The following is a 17,443-nucleotide window of genomic DNA, read 5'->3' as shown; positions in this document are numbered from 1 at the left end:
GGATTTGCCCAGCCCATTCTGCTTGACCTCCAAAACCATGTGCTCAAAGTAAAGCCTTGACTCCTGGCTTCAGAAACTCTCACAACGGCATTGTAGCTCTTGGGCTGAGCTCCTTACCAAGTATCCTAGAACCCCTAGGATGGGGAGCAAACCATCTCCTGCTCGAGTCTTGTGTGTTGTGGTTGGGAGCTGAGCTTGCAGAACTGGTGCCAACATTGTTGGTCCTCATGGTTGGGGAAGGCATGGACAATGTCATCAGCAGGATCTGTGGAACTGGATGCCAGCCCCTGACCAGAACCAGTCCCTGATGAAGTTCTCATAGGCCATGGAAAAGGAGAAAACCTCAGATAATGCAGCAAATTTTCCAAAACACTAAACGTATTCAACTGCCCTCTATTCAGGGATTACATCTTTCCTACTTTTTGGTGTTAAAACATGCATTGTTTTGTCAAATGATGAGGTGATGAGTAGATGGTAATTTTTAAATGTCATTTTACAAACTAACAACTGGCCACATCTCAATTCCCCGGTTTCCATCATGTTTCATGGTCCGTAAAATAATAAACAATATAACTAACTTTTTTAGAAAAAATGGAGTTGAAAAAAAGGTATTACCTTTATAATCCAAACAATATTGGTATGGATTGAACAAAATTAGAATATTTGTTATGCATGAGAGAAGTATGCCTAATTATCCAATTAAAATAGCTACCTTTCCTTATCCCAGTTATTTTTCCTTATAACATTTATAATTATCTAAATCATACTCCAGTATTTGTTCTCCTTTTTTATGCCAAGTCTTCCTGTGGAGGATGTGTGTTCCACGAGGACAGGATCTGAGTCTGGCTCAAGCTGACACACAGTAGGTACTCAACAAATATGTGTAACATACATAAAGGAAAGAACTTGGACCTAGAGAAGGTGTCTTAAAATATGAGATTCAAGTTTCATGGAAGTTATGGATGGGGTCGACAATATACTAGCATGTGGAACTGTCTGTCTGGAGAAAACTCCTGCAAAGGATTCCTTTGGTCCCCAGTCATTCTGGGAATAAGACATAAAAAGAGAGTAGGTAAACACAGAGGGCAGATTCCTGGCCGGAAGTGTTGGCTTACAGGCTCGGCAGGACGTATTAAGTGGAAGCATACATACAACTCAATTGCAAGCAGCTCTCCACTTCCTGCTCTGCAGAACACTCTCCTTCCCCCAGGCCTCTCAGCTTCCCTTTAGAAAACAAATCGTTTTTACAGTAGTTGATGAGAAAATGCCCTCTTGTGGGCGTGACAGTGGACCACCTCGATCATGTCACGGATTTCTGAAAATGTGGTTATTCCAGAGAATTCCTTCACGAGATTTAAAGGATTTCTTTTTTTTAAATCTCAAACATCAATGCTTTGTTAAAGCAAAAATACATTTTCTAAGAGGCCATTAAACAGTCCTCAATTCACTTCGGCGTGTCTAACTTAGCAATGCAAGTTCTGATTATCTTAAACAGCATCATCACAAAGATAATTATTCTCCTTTCTAAATTTTTGTACGATTTGCTAATGACTGAGTGATTTTTTTTTTAATAGTCATCGCCCAGAATCTGCCTCTTTTTCTGCTCCCAGGGAACCATCACCTGAGATTGACGGGCAGCAATTGAAAATAATAAAATTATGTAAGATGAGCTTGTAATCACCAGCATTTCACAGGAAGCAAAACGCATTTCGTTCTGGCTGAGGAACAGAAAGTTTCTTCCTCATTTTAAATCTGTATCAGAGGTAAAGCCTTCTATTAAAACACAATTCTCTGTACACTTACAGCCTCTGGCAGGCTGCCAAGGAGACTATCATGGAACCACCGCTGCAGAGAAGTAGGCAGTCAAAGGCATCGAGGATTGCTCCTGAGAAAGGATGCAAAGTCTCCAGAATTCTTGGGAGGGCTCTGCCCACAGCTACCCCCCACCTCTTCTGGCCAGGCCTCCCTCCTCAAATGCAAACACATATGCACACACACGCACACACGCTCTTTTTCTGGGAGAGGCATGGCAAAAATAAACACTGAGAAAATTCTTCCCTGTCTTTTGCGCCTGCACACACACACACACACACACACACACACACACACACACTCTCTCTCTCTCTCTTTGGGTTTCATCTTCCCCTTTCTTTTCTCTTTTGGATGTATTATTGTTTTCATCATCATTATTATTAATAAATTGCAAACTCTGCAGTCCAGGACCTGGTTAATTGCACCTTTTTGCTGCATGTAATTTACAGGTACATGTGACCACTTGGGGGCACAGTTATTTGAGAATGCTGGCACTGGCATTCAATAAGGTATGCTTTTAAGGTTTGAAGCCTGCTTTAAGAAAGCCCCAAATCTTGACTCTTACTGGAGCCCCAGCATGGAAGAGAATCCTGAGAATTATTCCTTTAAGGTGAGTCTGAGATTCATTATGAGGGACATTTTTATATGGGATTATACAAAACCATTTGGTTCCTTTCCCATTTTAAAAACTGGTAGTTTAAAAATTTCTTCTACATGGCGGCCTGTCCTTTTTCTGTTTTCATCAGTCTTAATGTCAGCATGGACGTAAACACATACTGCTCACTATGGGATGGGGACGGGCATGGCAAAATTAACTTTCCTATGATAGTTAATTCTTTTGCCTTGTTAGGTAAATTTTTATCTTTCCCAATATGAAAAATACGCTTATTATTTTAAAAACCAGAAAATGTTATGGTAGAAAGATGACCACTGTTAATATTATGGCACATTTTCAGCCTTTTTATCTATGTTCTTTGTTTTCATATACTTGACATTATAGTGTACACTATATATATAGTATAGTACGTCTACAGTGAAAACTATATGTATATATACATATAAGATATATATACATACACATATAAGATTATATATGATATATAAGATATATACACATACATAGATTTAAAGAAATCAGGGATACATATGTATATGTACATATATATACACACACATATATAAGAAATCAGGGACACACATGTATTAATTAAGTTTCCTTATTAATTAAAAACTATTCTCTCAAATAACCAAACTTACAGTGAAATCACTGAAGAAACTTTGTTCTCAATATCCATAGAAATGTTTTATATTTTTCCCATGGTTTTCTCATCAGCAGAAAGGCAAGGAGGGTTATTTACACCACTTTTCCCCAACCCTCCTGCAGTGCCCAAACACACCTGTGAGGACAGGTTCTGCCCCAAGACAAGCCAGGCTGTTCAGTTCACAGCTGGGCAGAGCAGTCTGCTGGGGGATGCCAGGGAGATACAAACCCACGGGAGAGAGGGGGAAGGATGGGGGCGCTGGGACTCGGATTGCATGGCCTGGGCTTTCACCAGGGGCCCCTAGGCCCAAGGACCTAGATAAGCACACACTAGGTTAGTGTCCTGGAAAGATTCTAATCCGGTGTGTGGGAAAATGGAGCAAAGTTTATCTTTTCTGGCTCAGATTCAGATGCACAGTCATTTCACACCCCGGTGAAGGAATCCTTTATTGAGCCACACATTTTAGGAAATCACCCTTATTTCCATAGGACAATAGTCAACACTGAGAGGGTGAAAATCCACAGGGTTTGCATTTTCCACCCGGGACAGTGTGAAACAGCACTGGGCTCTTAGATGACCCCTCACCCAGACGGCCCTCCCATCCCCTCCTCCTGCCGGTCCTCGATGCTCTTCCCACGTCTGGGCTGCTGGGATTCCAGTTCTGGCTCTGCCCCTGACTGGCAAGCCTCAGGTATGGTAATTCTCTTTTTCTGCCCCTCGACTGTTGAAAGTGCAAAATGTGCCCAGCACTGGCCTAGATCCTTAGAGGAAAATCAACAACAGAATATAAATAAAAGGTGAGGTGATCATTTTCCACAGGAGCACATGGTCAAGTCAGCTGGGGACTCCCACGCAGCCCTGAAGCAGTTACCTCGAGAACTTGCATCAGGCAATCCTCAGAGATGTGGGGACTGCTCCCTACAAAGCTGCAAAGGACAGGCAGGATCTGAACCTGGCAGAGCCTTCTAGAGAATGAAGAGGAGAGATGGAAGCTGAGGGTAGCCTCAGTCCAGCCGGACAGAGGCTCCTTGGACCAGCAGATAGTCCCTCTGCTCAGCAATGCACCTTCCTGCCCCTCCCACTACTTCAGGCAGGAGCAGATCGCTTCCTCTGTCCCAGGTCTCCTGTGCCTACATGTGAGCGGGCATAACGCGTCAGGCCCTGACTTGCTGAGATGGGCTCCACACTCCATGTCTCTGTCATGTGAGCCTCTAAACTGAGGCTCTGATGACTACATAGCCCTCGGCTCCTGTATAGGCTCAGACACCATAGCAGTGCCGCCAACCTCATTCAGAGATGAATTCAGAAGAAGTCCTTTAGAAATCACAGGTGCATGTCCAAGCTGGGCCTTGCAAGCTTACCTCTCCCAGGTGAAGGTCAATTGTTAGCTGTCAGTGACCTGGTGGACTTAGGGTGGGGACCGGGGGTGTATAGAGTACGGTTTCTGAATGGAGAGAGGGAAACCGGCATAAATACTTTTTCTCTTGGAGGGCCCCCAAATTCTGTCTGCTTCATGAGGTTCCCCAGTGACCACAGCCCACCCTGATCAGTCTGTCCTGTCTCCACAGGTCTCTACTGTAGAGCAACAGTTGAAGTTGTCACCCACACACTCTCAACTTGCATTATCTATGTCATGACATGAGGTACTGCCCAGAAACGGGGCAGCAGAGGAAACTGACCTCAGGTGAAACTGGCTTTCACACGGATAAATTTGTCCATGTTACTGGAAGGCAGGAATTACCCTCCCACCTCCAACAGGCCTATGAAGGCAGACATGGGACAACAAAGGTATTCTTGATGCTATCATATGAGGTAGCTACGCTCCAAGAGATTAACTTGCCTATGATTGCATCATGTCCAGGTAGCCAGCTAGTGTTTGAGCCCAGATCTATTTGCAACAAAGGTGTAGCTTTCCCCCTCCCATACCACTTAGAGACAAGATCTTGCTATAGCACTCAGGCTGGAGCGCAGTGGTGCAATCTTGGCTCATTGCACCCTTAACCAGGAGGTTAATCCTTCTGCCCCTGCCTCCCAAGTAGCTGGGACTATAGGCGTGTACCACTACATCTGGCTAATTTAACATTTTTTTTTTTTGTAGAGATGGGGTCTCACTATTATATTTCCCAAGTTGACCTTTATTAACTCCTGGTTTCAAGCAACGCTCCCACCTTGGCCTCCCAAAGTGCTAGGATTACAGGTGTGAGCCACGGTGCCCAGCTGCATGGCTCTGCATTAGGCCTCACCATGTCATGAGATAAGATACTGCCCAGCATTGGGGAAATGAGGAGACACTGACCTCAGTGTTGGACTCAGAGGCTACAAACTCACCCAAGAATGGGTCACAGCAGAGAGAGCCAAGTCACTGGAAAGATGGAAAAGCTGTGGTGCTTCAGTCCCAGACTAATGGCTTTAATGTGGCTAAAGAGCATCTCAACCAGCCTCAAGGCTTCAATCCAGAAAGGAAGAGGCCAAGCTGGGGACAGGCCACCCAAACCCTGCCTGGGGCAGGGGCCGCTCTACTCCTCCACCTCCACCCTAGCCCCCTTGGGTATCTGATCACATCTGCAGGTGGCCGTCGGAGCTGGGGAAGGGTGTGGCAGCTATCACAGCTCAGGGACGTCAACCTGTTAAGGCCATCTGTCCACTTCCTGTCCCTAGTGCTGAGTCACCAAAAAAGCAAAACCCCCAGCACCGAAAACTTGAAGTGTGGCAAGCTCACTCTGCCGGGACACTCCCCAGTGGTCAGCTGACATCTTCACTCACTGTCAGCGGTCTCCAAACCACAGTGCCATCTCAATGTCCACCCACAGGAGAATGGATGCACAAACTGTATGGGATGGAGTACTAGTTAGCAGTAGAGTTAACTCCAGGGACACGCATCAGCACAGGTCAACAGCAGACGGCAGGCTGAGCAAGACCAGCAGGGCACACAAGAGTGCACACTGTGAGTTTCTGTCTACAAGAACATCGAGAACAGGCATAAACCCATGATGACTGACATCAGAAAGTGGTTGGAAAGAAGATGGGGGTTGACCAGAAGAGGGCAGGAGGGAACTTTCTGGGGTGATGAAAGTTACACAGGTTCATCATGCAGTTACACAGGTTCACAATTATTGAAACTCAGTGAACTGAACACTTGAGGCTGTAGATTTCATTGTATTGCTTCTCAACGATCACACCTCAAATAAAATAATAATAAATAAACGCAATGCAATGCTCAGCACAGAGCGGGTAACACGGCAAGTGCCCTAGAAGAGTTGCTAAATTGTAAAACACATTTTTTTCCTAGGTGAATTTTAAAAAGAATTTACTAGGAGAATCACTTTGGAATATGTTTGGAAATCTATTTTTTTATTGTGATGAAACATACATGCCATAACATTTACCATTTTAATCATTTTTAAATGTACAGTTCAGTGGCATTAAGTGCATGCACACTATTTTGCTATTTAGTTTTTATTTCATAATCATAAATTTAACTCTGCAATCCAGCTAGGCATGGAAGGGAACAAGGAAAACATGGAACCCAAAGGGAAATGCAGTGACAGCACAAAGATTCTAGGATACTGTGAGCAAATGGGGAGCAGGCATGCTCTCCTGAACTATAAAGGAATGGCTGAGTGGTGAAGATAAAACACAAGTCTAATTTATTGGAGTTGTCCACAGTCAGCAATGGTGATCTTCTTGCTAGTCTTGCCACTCCTGGACCCAAAGCGCTCCATGGCCTCCATAATCTTCATGCCTTCTTTCACCTTGCCAAATACTACATGCTTGCCATCCAACCACTCAGTCTTGGCAGTGCAGATGAAAAACTGGGAGCCATTCATGTTGGGTCCAGCATTTGCCATAGACAAGATGCCAGGGCCTGTATGCTTTAGGATGAAGTTCTCATCATCAAATTTCTCCCTGTAGATGGACTTGCCACCAGTGTCATTATGGTATGTGAAGTCACCACCCTGACACATAAAACCCTGGAATATTTCTGTGAAAGCAGGAACCCTTATAACCAAATCCGTTCTCTCCATGAAAGCATGAAAGTTCAGAGCATGAAAGTTTTCTGCTGTCTTTGGAACCTTCTCTGAAAACAGCTAGAAAGAGACATGGCCCAAGGGCTCACTATCGACAGCGATGTCGAAGAACACGGCAGGGTTGACCACGGCTGACAGTATGGGGATCCCAGCAGCGGCAGCAGCATCTGCAAAACCTACATGCATATTGTTTTGCAACCTTCTCCACCATCTATCTCCAGAGCATTTCATTTTCTTAAACTGAAACTCTTTGCGCATTAAACGATAACTCTCTCCCCACATCCCCTGGCAACTACCATTCTACCTCTGTCTGTGAATCCAATCCATACTACTCTAGGTACCTCATATAAGTGGAATCCTCCAGTAATGGTCCTTTCGTGACTGGCTTATTTCACTTAGTATAACGTCTTCAAGGTTCATCCACGCTATAGCGTGTGTCAAAAGTTCCTTCCTTTTTAAGGCTGAATCATCTTCCATTGTATGTATCTAGTGTATTTTGTTTATTCATTCATCACTGACGGACACTTGGGTTGCTTCTACCTTTTGGCTATTGTGAATGTGGTTGCTATGAGCAACACTAGTGTATGAACATCTGTTTGGGTCCCAGCTTTCACTTTTTTTGGGTATAGGCTCAGAAGCAGAATTGCTGGATCAGATGATAATTCTATGTTTAATTTTTTGAAGAATGGCCATAATGTTTTCCATAGCGGTTGCACAATTTGCATTTTCATGAGCAGTGCATAAGGGTTGCAGTTTCTCCACATCCTCACCAACACTTGTTATTTTCTGTTGTTGTTTATAGTCACGTTAATGGACGTGAAGTGGTATCTTATTGTGGTTTTGACTTCCATTTCCCCAATGATTAGTGATGTGGAGCATCTTTTTGTGTCCTTATTGGCCATTGGTATACCTTCTCTGGAGAGGTGTCTATTCAAGTCCTTTGCCCATTTTTTAATGGAGGTGTTTGTTTGTTGAGTTGAAAGCACGTTTTAATTGCCACTGTGCTGGCCTGACAGCCAAGCCCCACCCTCCTCACTGCCGCATGCTCAGTTCCCAGGCAGCAGTGTCTCACATCCTCCACCCAACCCCATCTCAGCACTGGTCACACCCAGCACAGGAATAAGGGCCTGATGGGCAACTGCCTCCCATTTTCCTGGGACCAAGGAGACTATACTTGGCCCAGGTGTCTATTTGAGCTATCAAAAAATGTTTCCGGAGACCAGGCATTCGGGAAGGTATACCAGGAATAAAAACAGCAGACAGTTACAGCTGTCAAATTGTGACTTCACAGTCAGTGAGTGACCACCCCACCCCTGCTGCCTCCCCCAGAGGTCCTCCTTAACAAAAACGCATTATTGTGGTATCTGCAGAATCAAGCTTTAAATTTTAAAACCTGAGCAGGGCCGTAGCTCTGAAAAGCCCTGCTCACTCAGTGATGTGAGGGAGAGCCTGTGGGGAGGGGCAAGGGCCAGGGGCCATCACTACAGCCCTCATCTAGAACTGGGGCTGGAGCCCCTGCCACAGGAGGGCCGTTTGTGTGCCTTTATCCCATCAAGGCAGCAGCAGGAGCTGCTCTCCTGACGAGGTTCTCCACGGCTGCCTGCGACCTTCCCTCTGTCCCAGTCACAGGTACCTTCCAGGTCTCAGAGCACAAATCCTCCCCTACCTTCCCCCGCACTGCCAGACCTCTACCCAGGGGCCACTAGAGCAGACCTTGTCAGACACCTGGGGCCAGGGAGGAAGCCTCCCTCAAGGTCACAAGTGAGGTGGTGACCTTATACAGAGAAAAAAAAGCGACTTCCCTGAAACACGCTTTCCATGAAAATCATTTTTCTCCTCTTGGGGGAAAGAGAGGAAATTTTAAAACTGAGAATCATCGTAGAAAAAGGCAGTTTCCCCACATCATATGAAGCCATCCAGGTGCTTCTTATTTTTACAACATGTTGCCATAGATGGGTAGATGGGGAAGCTTAGGTGCTTCCCTTTGGCAAATCGAGGCTTCGGCAAGAAATATGTTCCTTTCGCAGTCTGTATATTATTCAAGTTTTGATGATTAGCACTGGTTTTGATGATTAAAGCTGGTTGGAACAGCATGAACCGAAGAGATTACAGCAGGCTCTCCTCTAGAAGGATCGGCCTGACAAGCGCACTGCACGCAGCCTCCTGGTCCAACCAGCCCAGCTTCCAAATGAGGTATGCACCTTTCCCAAACTCCACGGCCCTTAATTTTGGTTTGAAAAGCCAGGGCTAGGTCATCTTATATGTCTTCCCATTGGCTAAATAAGCTAAGTCAATGGCAAAATAACTTACCCAAAACAAATAAGCTAATTCAATGGCAAAATAGGCTACCCAAATCTCAAGAGGTCAAAACAGGGCAGCATTGCAACAAATTGGCCTCAGGATGTATGTGGGTGGCTACGAGGGTCCCAAGCCAAGATCCTGAGGCTCTCACTCAGCATCAGGGAGACCGACTGGGGAGGCACCTAAACGCAGGGGATGCAGCCCTCCTTATGGCCACCAACAATGGCAGTTGAGTTCCAGGCAGGACAGACCAGGCTGCTGCCCCTGCTAATATGAGCACCACTGGGTTGGACAGAATTCAGCCCACTTGTTAACCTAAAGGTGGCAATATTGGTCTCACTGATGAGGGATTCTAGACCCAATTGTTATAAAATCACGGGACATGTCTTGCTTTGGCAAGACAACTGCAGCTAGGTTTCTTCCAGGCAGTTCTCTACGCCTACCTGCGGTGAAGAATCAGGTTTTGGGTTTTTGTTTACATCACCAATCTGTCAGGAACGAAAATGTGGTCCTACCTTGCATGATTAGCTCACACTCACACCATAGGCGGCTCTCCTGGTAACTCACCATGAGAGTCCAAGACCATGCAAACTGGTCTGTACCTAGTTAATGAGGGGAGCCCACGGATCATGCTGCCAAGGCAGTGTTGAATGCAATCGGAGTTTCTTTTTTTTTTTTTTCTTTCCTTTTTTGAGACGGAGTCTCACTCTGTCACCCAGGCTACAGTGCAGTGTTGCGATCTCAGCTCACTGCAACCTCTGCCTCCCTGGTTCAAGCGATTCTCCTGTCTCAGCCTCCTGAGTAGCTGGGATTACAGGCGCATGCCACCACGCCTGGCTAATTTTTGTAGCTTTGGTAGAGACCGGGTTTCACCATGTTGATGAGGCTGGTCTCAAACTCCTGACTTCATGATCCGCCCACCTCGGCCTCCCAAAGTGCTGGGATCACAGGCGTGAGCCACCATGCCTGGCCTGCAATCGTAGTTTCTAAATGCTTATTCCCAATTTATCTCGGCACACACTGGGAACAGTGTGGAAACAGACACCTATCTGTGACCTTAACTGGAGTAGCACCATTTTCTACCCCTCTCTACTGTGATGGAGAGACAAATCAATAGCAGCAGCGGCCAATGTAGGTGGTTAGGCAGAACCCAGTGGACCCATGGGTCACGGCCACAGCAGCATTCACAACTTGGTTCTCTCTGCTCTGGACTGTCTCACAGAATTTCTCGGGAAATTCCTGGACTGGACCACTCATTTCCATGGACTTCCTGGTGAGATGTGGTGCCCTGTCTCCTTCCTCTGTCACCTCAACACAATTCATTGAGCTCACAGTATTTGAACAACGAATATCCAGCCTGTGCCAGGACCAAGGAAGGCTAAAAGACAAAGTCCTTGCCTTCAAGGACCATGATCCCCAAGACGAGTCCAGAAATAACCATTGATGTTACCGATTTGGCATATGTCAGCACAGTTCTAAGCACTTTGCAAACAGGAACTCATTTAATCCTCAAGTATTTAATCTTCGTAGATCCAAATCAGCACACCCCAGGAAGCCTTCTGACCACAAAGAAAGGAGTCAGATACACCTAAGCCTTGCAGGCAAATTCAGAATTGAATTTTTGTTCCATTTGCAAAGATGAGGCCAGCACATTTAAGTCTGAAGGTACTTGAAATCATACTGGTGAGTCTCTTTAAATTTATTTCACACTTTAAAAGAAAATTAGCTGGACCTCAACTTACTATGTCAACTGTGATAATCAGTGAGCAATGTGGCTAAACATATGATTTTTTTATTCAAATAAGCAATTTATATTTCCTAGAAAAGGGAATATTGGCTCTCTTCCTTCTCCATAGGTAGGCAGGTGTCTGGAGGACAGGATCCTTCCTCCCTGTAACCCATCCGGCACCCATCATAGGCCTGGCACCCATGTTTGTTGATCTGAACTTGGGCAAATGCTTGGATCTCTCTAAATCAGCTGCAGAATAGCAATACCACCACTGTGAAGTCACCCATGCGACAGGGTGAGCAAAAATGAGATGCCACAGGAAAGGCAGTGCTCTTCCCACTGTGCCTTCTCAGTAAACAGTTATTCAATCTACCCTCATTTAGAAGCTCCAGGAGCTGAATATATATCCTTAAAGTTCCCTGGGAGGCTAAGCTTAGCTGCAGGTTTGATCCAGAAGCAGATGCTTAAAGCTGGAAGACGTGAAAAGTGAAGGTAAAGGAGAAAGGGAAGATTGTTTTTGTTTTTTGTTTTTAATCCCAATTTCACCGCTCTTCACCACTTCTCAGTGTTACTAAATGACCAAAAGGAAAGCAGGGATGTTCCGGCCGCTGTTGGGTCTTTAATTTGATCTAAGCCTTTGGCGTATGCTTTGCACAAAACAGAGACACAGAGTCCTCTTGTCTGCTCTTCCCTCACCGCCCACACCTCCAACTTGCTTCTAGGAGCTTTGTGGGGAAGCCTCAAGAAGAGGAAGCCTCATGCTTGACATTACTTCTAGGGTAGAGACAAGCCCAGGGGGAAGGGAGGGGCGGCAGCAGAGCTACACAGGAGTGACCGTGCCAGTGCCGGGCCAGCAGTCAGGTGGGGCCAGCCTCCCCACACCCCAAACCTCCTGTGTGGTCCAGATCCCAGGCACTGCAACCACGTCTTTCTCAAGGAGAATCTCAAACTGAAGAAGTCCCTCCTTGGCTGAATGTAGGTTGAAAGAGTTAAAACAGAGCAAACACATTTTTGTGGTGTGTGCTCCAGGCTCTATTCACACCCATCTCGAGAAAAAACTAATATAAAGAATAAAAATAGAACAGAAGAAGTTGGAAAATACAGTGTTATCGCCCTTCCCAAAGTGCCTCTGTGATTTCCAGGTGTTTCATTTTTTCCTTAAAACGATGCTTTTGTGAACTACTACAAATTTTGAAATCTGAGCAGAGACAACAACCCACAAGGAAAGCCCCTGAGAGAGGACAGACGGCACGGATGCTCAGAAGCGCCAGACAGACCCAGGTTGTCACTGCAACGATGAAGCTCCAAGAGAGAATTAGTCTTCAAAGTCTCAAATCATAAATCCTAGAAGATTCCATCCAGATTACAATTCATCAATAAGCATATTTAATAGATATATGCCCAAATATAGCATCAAAAATTCCACACAATGACAAACCATGAACATGTGACTACACAGCCACGGAGTGAAAAGAACATCCAAAAAGTCAGCTTTGATGTCTGTTATCTGACACCTTCTCCAGGCAAACATTTTTACCAGAGTTTTGTGCCAGGCACCAGGCTATGCATCGGTATGCAAACATGAACAAGCCCGGGTCAGCGATTAGTGGTTCTAGATGAATCTTTAACCCTTTCTACATTGTTTTTATTCTTTGATTTGCTATTTATTTACTATGCTGGCTCAAGATGGAAACAGACGCCATTCAAACACCTAAAAGTTTTTCTCATTAGCCTTCCAGAAACCACAGTAAATGGAAGCAGGTGCGCAAATCCAAAAGGTATCATGCATGTTGGTCAGACTTGATTAATATTGTTATTTTAGCTCACATTCCTTCTACTAGATTGATTTTACATAAAATGTTAATTAGTATAGACAACACAGTACCTGGTACAGGCAGTATGAAGTGGTGCAGATGCATGGGAAAAAACAAAGACATAGGCGCATGTGCACACACGAATAGGGGTGTGTGTGCAGAAAGGAAAACACAGACAGACTGGTAGCTGAGGGATCTGTGTTCAAACCCAGCTGAACAACGTGGCTAGGTTTGTGGCCTTGGGCCAGTTGATTACCACTGAGCCTCATCTTCATTTGTAAAATGTGGATAATCCCTACCTCGAAGCATTGATATGAGGATTAGAGATAATATATGTAAAGTACTCGGATATAGTGAGCAGCCATAACTGGAAGCTATTATTATTATATTATTGGGGCTTAATAAAGGTTTGGTGATTGAATAATAGGTAGATTAGCTGACCTCAAAAATCCACATCAACTCTAAAATTATGATACTAAAGATGGAATTAAAAGTTCACACATCAAATCAACTCAAGGGTATTTTTAACTATTGGAATTGTGATGCAAATGTCTTATGCTTTTCAGAATAAGTACTGATAGTGAGACTTACAGAACATAATATATATACATGCCCTGGTGTATGACTAAAACATTTATGATTGAAATTGAACAGGATTGGCATCTACAGTTTCTGAGATCTCTAGGGGTTGCTGCTGTCTCTTCTTCCACAGCTACTTTTCCTAAGCCCCCTTTGCAAAGCACTTCCCCAGGCCACTGTAATGTGGGTTTATGGAGGTTATCTGTTTTCACCCTCACAACCACCCTAGATAGCCACTACTGCTTCTTCCAATTTCATAAAAGAAAACTGAGGCTGGGTGAGATTAAGGATCTTTCCAAGGTCACACAGCTAGGAAGCACTGGAGACGGGACTTCAACGTGGACAGGAAGCCCATGTTTCTAATCCCTCTGCAGTATCACTGCAACTAGGACAAGCCCCCAAGGAAAGCATGAGATCAGAGACACTCGGGAGGAAATGCATACACAGAAAAGGAAGAACAAATGTCAGTAACATCTACTGCATTCTTTATTGGACAGTATTCTGTGTGACTGCATTCTCACCAAGTCTCTTCAATTGAAAACTTACATAATTTGTTAGTGTTAAAAGTCAAAATAGGGCTGGGCGCGGTGGCTAATGCCTATAATCCCAGAGTGAACTTTGGGAGGCAGAGACAGGCGAATTACCTGAGGTTGGGAGTTCGAGACCAGCCTGACCAACATGGAGAAACCCCATCTCCACTAAAAATACAAAATCAGCCGGGTATAGTGGCACGTGCCTGTAATCCCAGCTACTCAGGAGGCTGAGGCAGGATAATTGCTTGAACCCTTGAACGCGGGAGGCAGAGGTGGCAGTGAGCCAAGACTGCACCATTGCACTCCAGCCTGGGCAACAAGATCAAAACCCCGTCTCAAAACAAAGAAAACATCAAAATAGCAGCAATTCCACTTCTGGGTATAGACCCAGAAACACTGAAAACAGGATGTCTTATACTCCTGTTCACAGCAGCGTTATTCTCAGTAGCTACAACATGGAAGCAACCCAAATCTCCATCAACAGATGAATGGACAAACAAAATGTGGCCCATACATGCAATGCAATATTATTCAACCTTAAAAAGGAAGGAAAGCCTGTCCCATGCCACAAGATGTGATAAACCTGGAAGACGTTATGCTAAGTTTAACAAGCCCATCACAAAAGGATGAATGTGGCATGATTCCACTCACCTGAGGGATCTAAGGTAGTTGAATGTATAAACAGGAAGTAGAATGGCGGATGCCAGGGGCTGAGGGAGGTAGGAATGGGGACATGATGTTTAACGGGTATAGACTTTCAGTTCTGCAAGACGAAGGGTTCTGGAGCTTGCTTGCACAACAATGTGAATGCTACGAATGCACAGTTAAAAATGGTAAAGGTGGCTCATGCCTGTAATCCCAGCACTTTGGGAAGCTGAGGCGGGTGGATCACCTGAGGTCAGGAGTTCGAGACCAGCCTGGCCAACATGGTGAAACCCCGTCTCTACTAAAAATGCAAAAAAATTTGCTGGGCGTGGTGGCAGGCGCCTGTAATCCCAGCTACTCTGGAGGCTGAGGCAGGAGAATCTCATGAACCCAGGAGGCAGGGGTTGCAGCGAGCCAAGATTGTGTCATTGCACTCCAGCCTGAGTGACAGAGTGAAACTCCTTCTCAAAAAAAAAAAAAAAAAAAGTAAAGATGGTAAATTTTATGTGTTTTTAAACCATGGTTTAAACAAAGTGACAGAACATATATTTGTGTATATATAACTATATATATGTATGTGTATATATATGTGTGATTATCTGTTTACAAATATATATATACACATACATATATCCTTAAAATGATCAGTGATTTTAAAATGTCAAAAACCTACAAATCATAACAATAGACACCTGTGAGGCCAATGGCAGCCTGTAAATGGCCTAGCGGCTGTCGTCTTTGCGCACGCTAGATCCCCGGCCGTTACAACCATGCTCGCCGTTCTTGTTCCAGCTTGTGAGTCATCATTTGCAGCTGCACAGTCGAGAGTCTCTGAACTACTTGAATTTCATGCAGATACCCTCTCGCACAGAAAATGAGAACTCTTCTCCTTTCTACCCTAAAGGTGGAAATGCTCCCAAACGATAAAATTGATTTCACAAAGAACTCTGTTGCTACTTCCAGTGATCAACTTGCCTCATCTTAATTGGCAGTTTCAGTTTTCCTGTTTTCAAGTGGTTTCCTTGAAGAAAGTACAGGCTGCATTTACTGTGGGAGAAGTAAGCCTGTGGCGGTTGTAGGAAGAACCACAGAGTTTGCTTTCAGGGTGGTCCTGATCTCAGCATTTTTGATCTAAGGTGCAGGTAAAGAATTTGGATACATCTTTCCTTGTTAACCAAAATTAAGACCATTTTCTATGGTAAAATTTACTTCAGACAAAAGTACATTCCAGGAATTATGCTACCTAATTTTTTAGCACATCAGGCGATGACCCCAGATTACTTAAGAAATAAAAACTGACTATCTTCTACACAAACTACAGATATTCTACCAGCTTCCAAACATTTGCGTGGATATGTGTCTAGCACAGTGAAAGATGCTAAGACAGGCCTGGGAAACATATGATTTATCTGTTTAAACATATATTCCGCCCCCCCCTTTTTTTTTTCTGAGACTAGGTCTTGCTCTGTTGCCCAGTACAGTGGCGTGATCACTGTTCACTGCAGCCTCAACTTCCTGGGCTCCAGCAGTCCTCCCATCCACTAACACATTTCTTGTTCTCCAGTCCTCTTACACAGTAACTGCCTTGGTTTATCCTCATTCAGCACAACTAAAGGCTGGATTTCTTATTCATGATGTTTCTTCCTCCTCCTATCCCCAAGTAGGCACTTAGTTGACTGATTACAGAATCACAAAGTTGGTTATAATTCCATTTCTTCATCTGACTTTGAACTTAAGTGTTCCAATTACTTTGCCTGATCCTAATAAGTCAGTAGCGTGCTAATGCTTGCCTTGATATTTCTGAAATATACAGGGTTGTGATTAGCATGGGATTGCATCATTAGAAAGCTAAGTTGAAAGTGGGTGAGCAAAATCATCACTCGCATTTAAGTAAAACTGCCTGTTCAGTGGACTTACAATGTTACTATGATCCTAGGGGCACTATATGCTGTGACTAAATATATATTGTATTTGGAAAATCCTCTGCTGTTCTGAAAACTTCTGGCTTTGACCACTACTAGAAAAGACCCCAGGACAGACCTGCTCTAATATAGTCTCGAAGTCTCTCCAAGCCAGATACAACCGATGACACAAAGAATGCCTAAGCCATAACAGTACTGGGATTTTAAAAAAAAAAAAAAAAAAAAGAAGAAGAAAGAAAGAAAAAAAGGAAGGAAGCAAAAAGGAGGAAGGAAGGAAAAACTTTAGTTAGTTCTGCTGGACTGAATTGATGTCTCCCAGCCAAAAAGTGAGAAAGCTTTACAGTAAGCCTGCTGAAAGAAAGAAAAAAAAAACCCATGTACACATACATATCAAATGAGATGCCAAAAAATGACATTAGTATTAGGGGTGCCATTTGAGTTGATGAAAAAAAATTAACTCCTTTATATCTGTATGTAGCTGGGAATAGTGTAGGCTTTTAGAAACTAGCAGGAAAAAAGAAGGAGATACTTTAAACTAGGAATGGTTTGTAGCCAAATCAATTGATAAAAGAAGGAAAAAGATGGCACAACTAAAATTGATGCCAAAGATTTATAAGGTTGACTAAATAAAAATGAATGGATCACCATGGAAATGCATGAATACTGAAATAGGCAAGATTTGAATAGACTAATGATGTGCCTCACTTAAACTGACAGGTGTTGATAACAACGGTGACACTCAATCCACACCAACCGCCACACTTCCAACATGTTTATTCCTAGAAAACAGGCTGGATTTAGAGGTTCCTTTGGTAATA

General features: G+C 44.1%; 1 protein-coding gene and 1 pseudogene across 1 annotated transcript in view, besides 2 other annotated features; both read right to left on the bottom strand.

Annotated features, from left to right (window-relative positions):
• Positions 1–17,443, bottom strand: part of KLHL29 (kelch like family member 29) — a 323,428-nt gene that overhangs the window by 302,767 nt on the left and 3,218 nt on the right. The gene's annotated exons all lie outside the window — the stretch shown is intronic.
• Positions 906–1,487: an enhancer, noted in NCBI's record as "NANOG hESC enhancer chr2:23627224-23627805 (GRCh37/hg19 assembly coordinates)". NCBI's record gives its function as "activates a minimal SCP1, AML or CMV promoter by ChIP-STARR-seq in naive H9 embryonic stem cells {active_cell/tissue: H9 hESC(naive)}" and the evidence as "EXISTENCE:reporter gene assay evidence [ECO:0000049][PMID:30033119]".
• On the bottom strand, positions 6,517–7,278 carry PPIAP61 (peptidylprolyl isomerase A pseudogene 61; annotated as a pseudogene).
• Positions 8,163–8,662: an enhancer, noted in NCBI's record as "H3K4me1 hESC enhancer chr2:23620049-23620548 (GRCh37/hg19 assembly coordinates)". NCBI's record gives its function as "activates a minimal SCP1, AML or CMV promoter by ChIP-STARR-seq in naive H9 embryonic stem cells {active_cell/tissue: H9 hESC(naive)}" and the evidence as "EXISTENCE:reporter gene assay evidence [ECO:0000049][PMID:30033119]".

Source organism: Homo sapiens, chromosome 2 (assembly GCF_000001405.40).
Source record: "Homo sapiens chromosome 2, GRCh38.p14 Primary Assembly".
NCBI lineage: Eukaryota > Metazoa > Chordata > Mammalia > Primates > Hominidae > Homo > Homo sapiens.
This window is presented reverse-complemented; position numbering and strand designations above follow the sequence as displayed.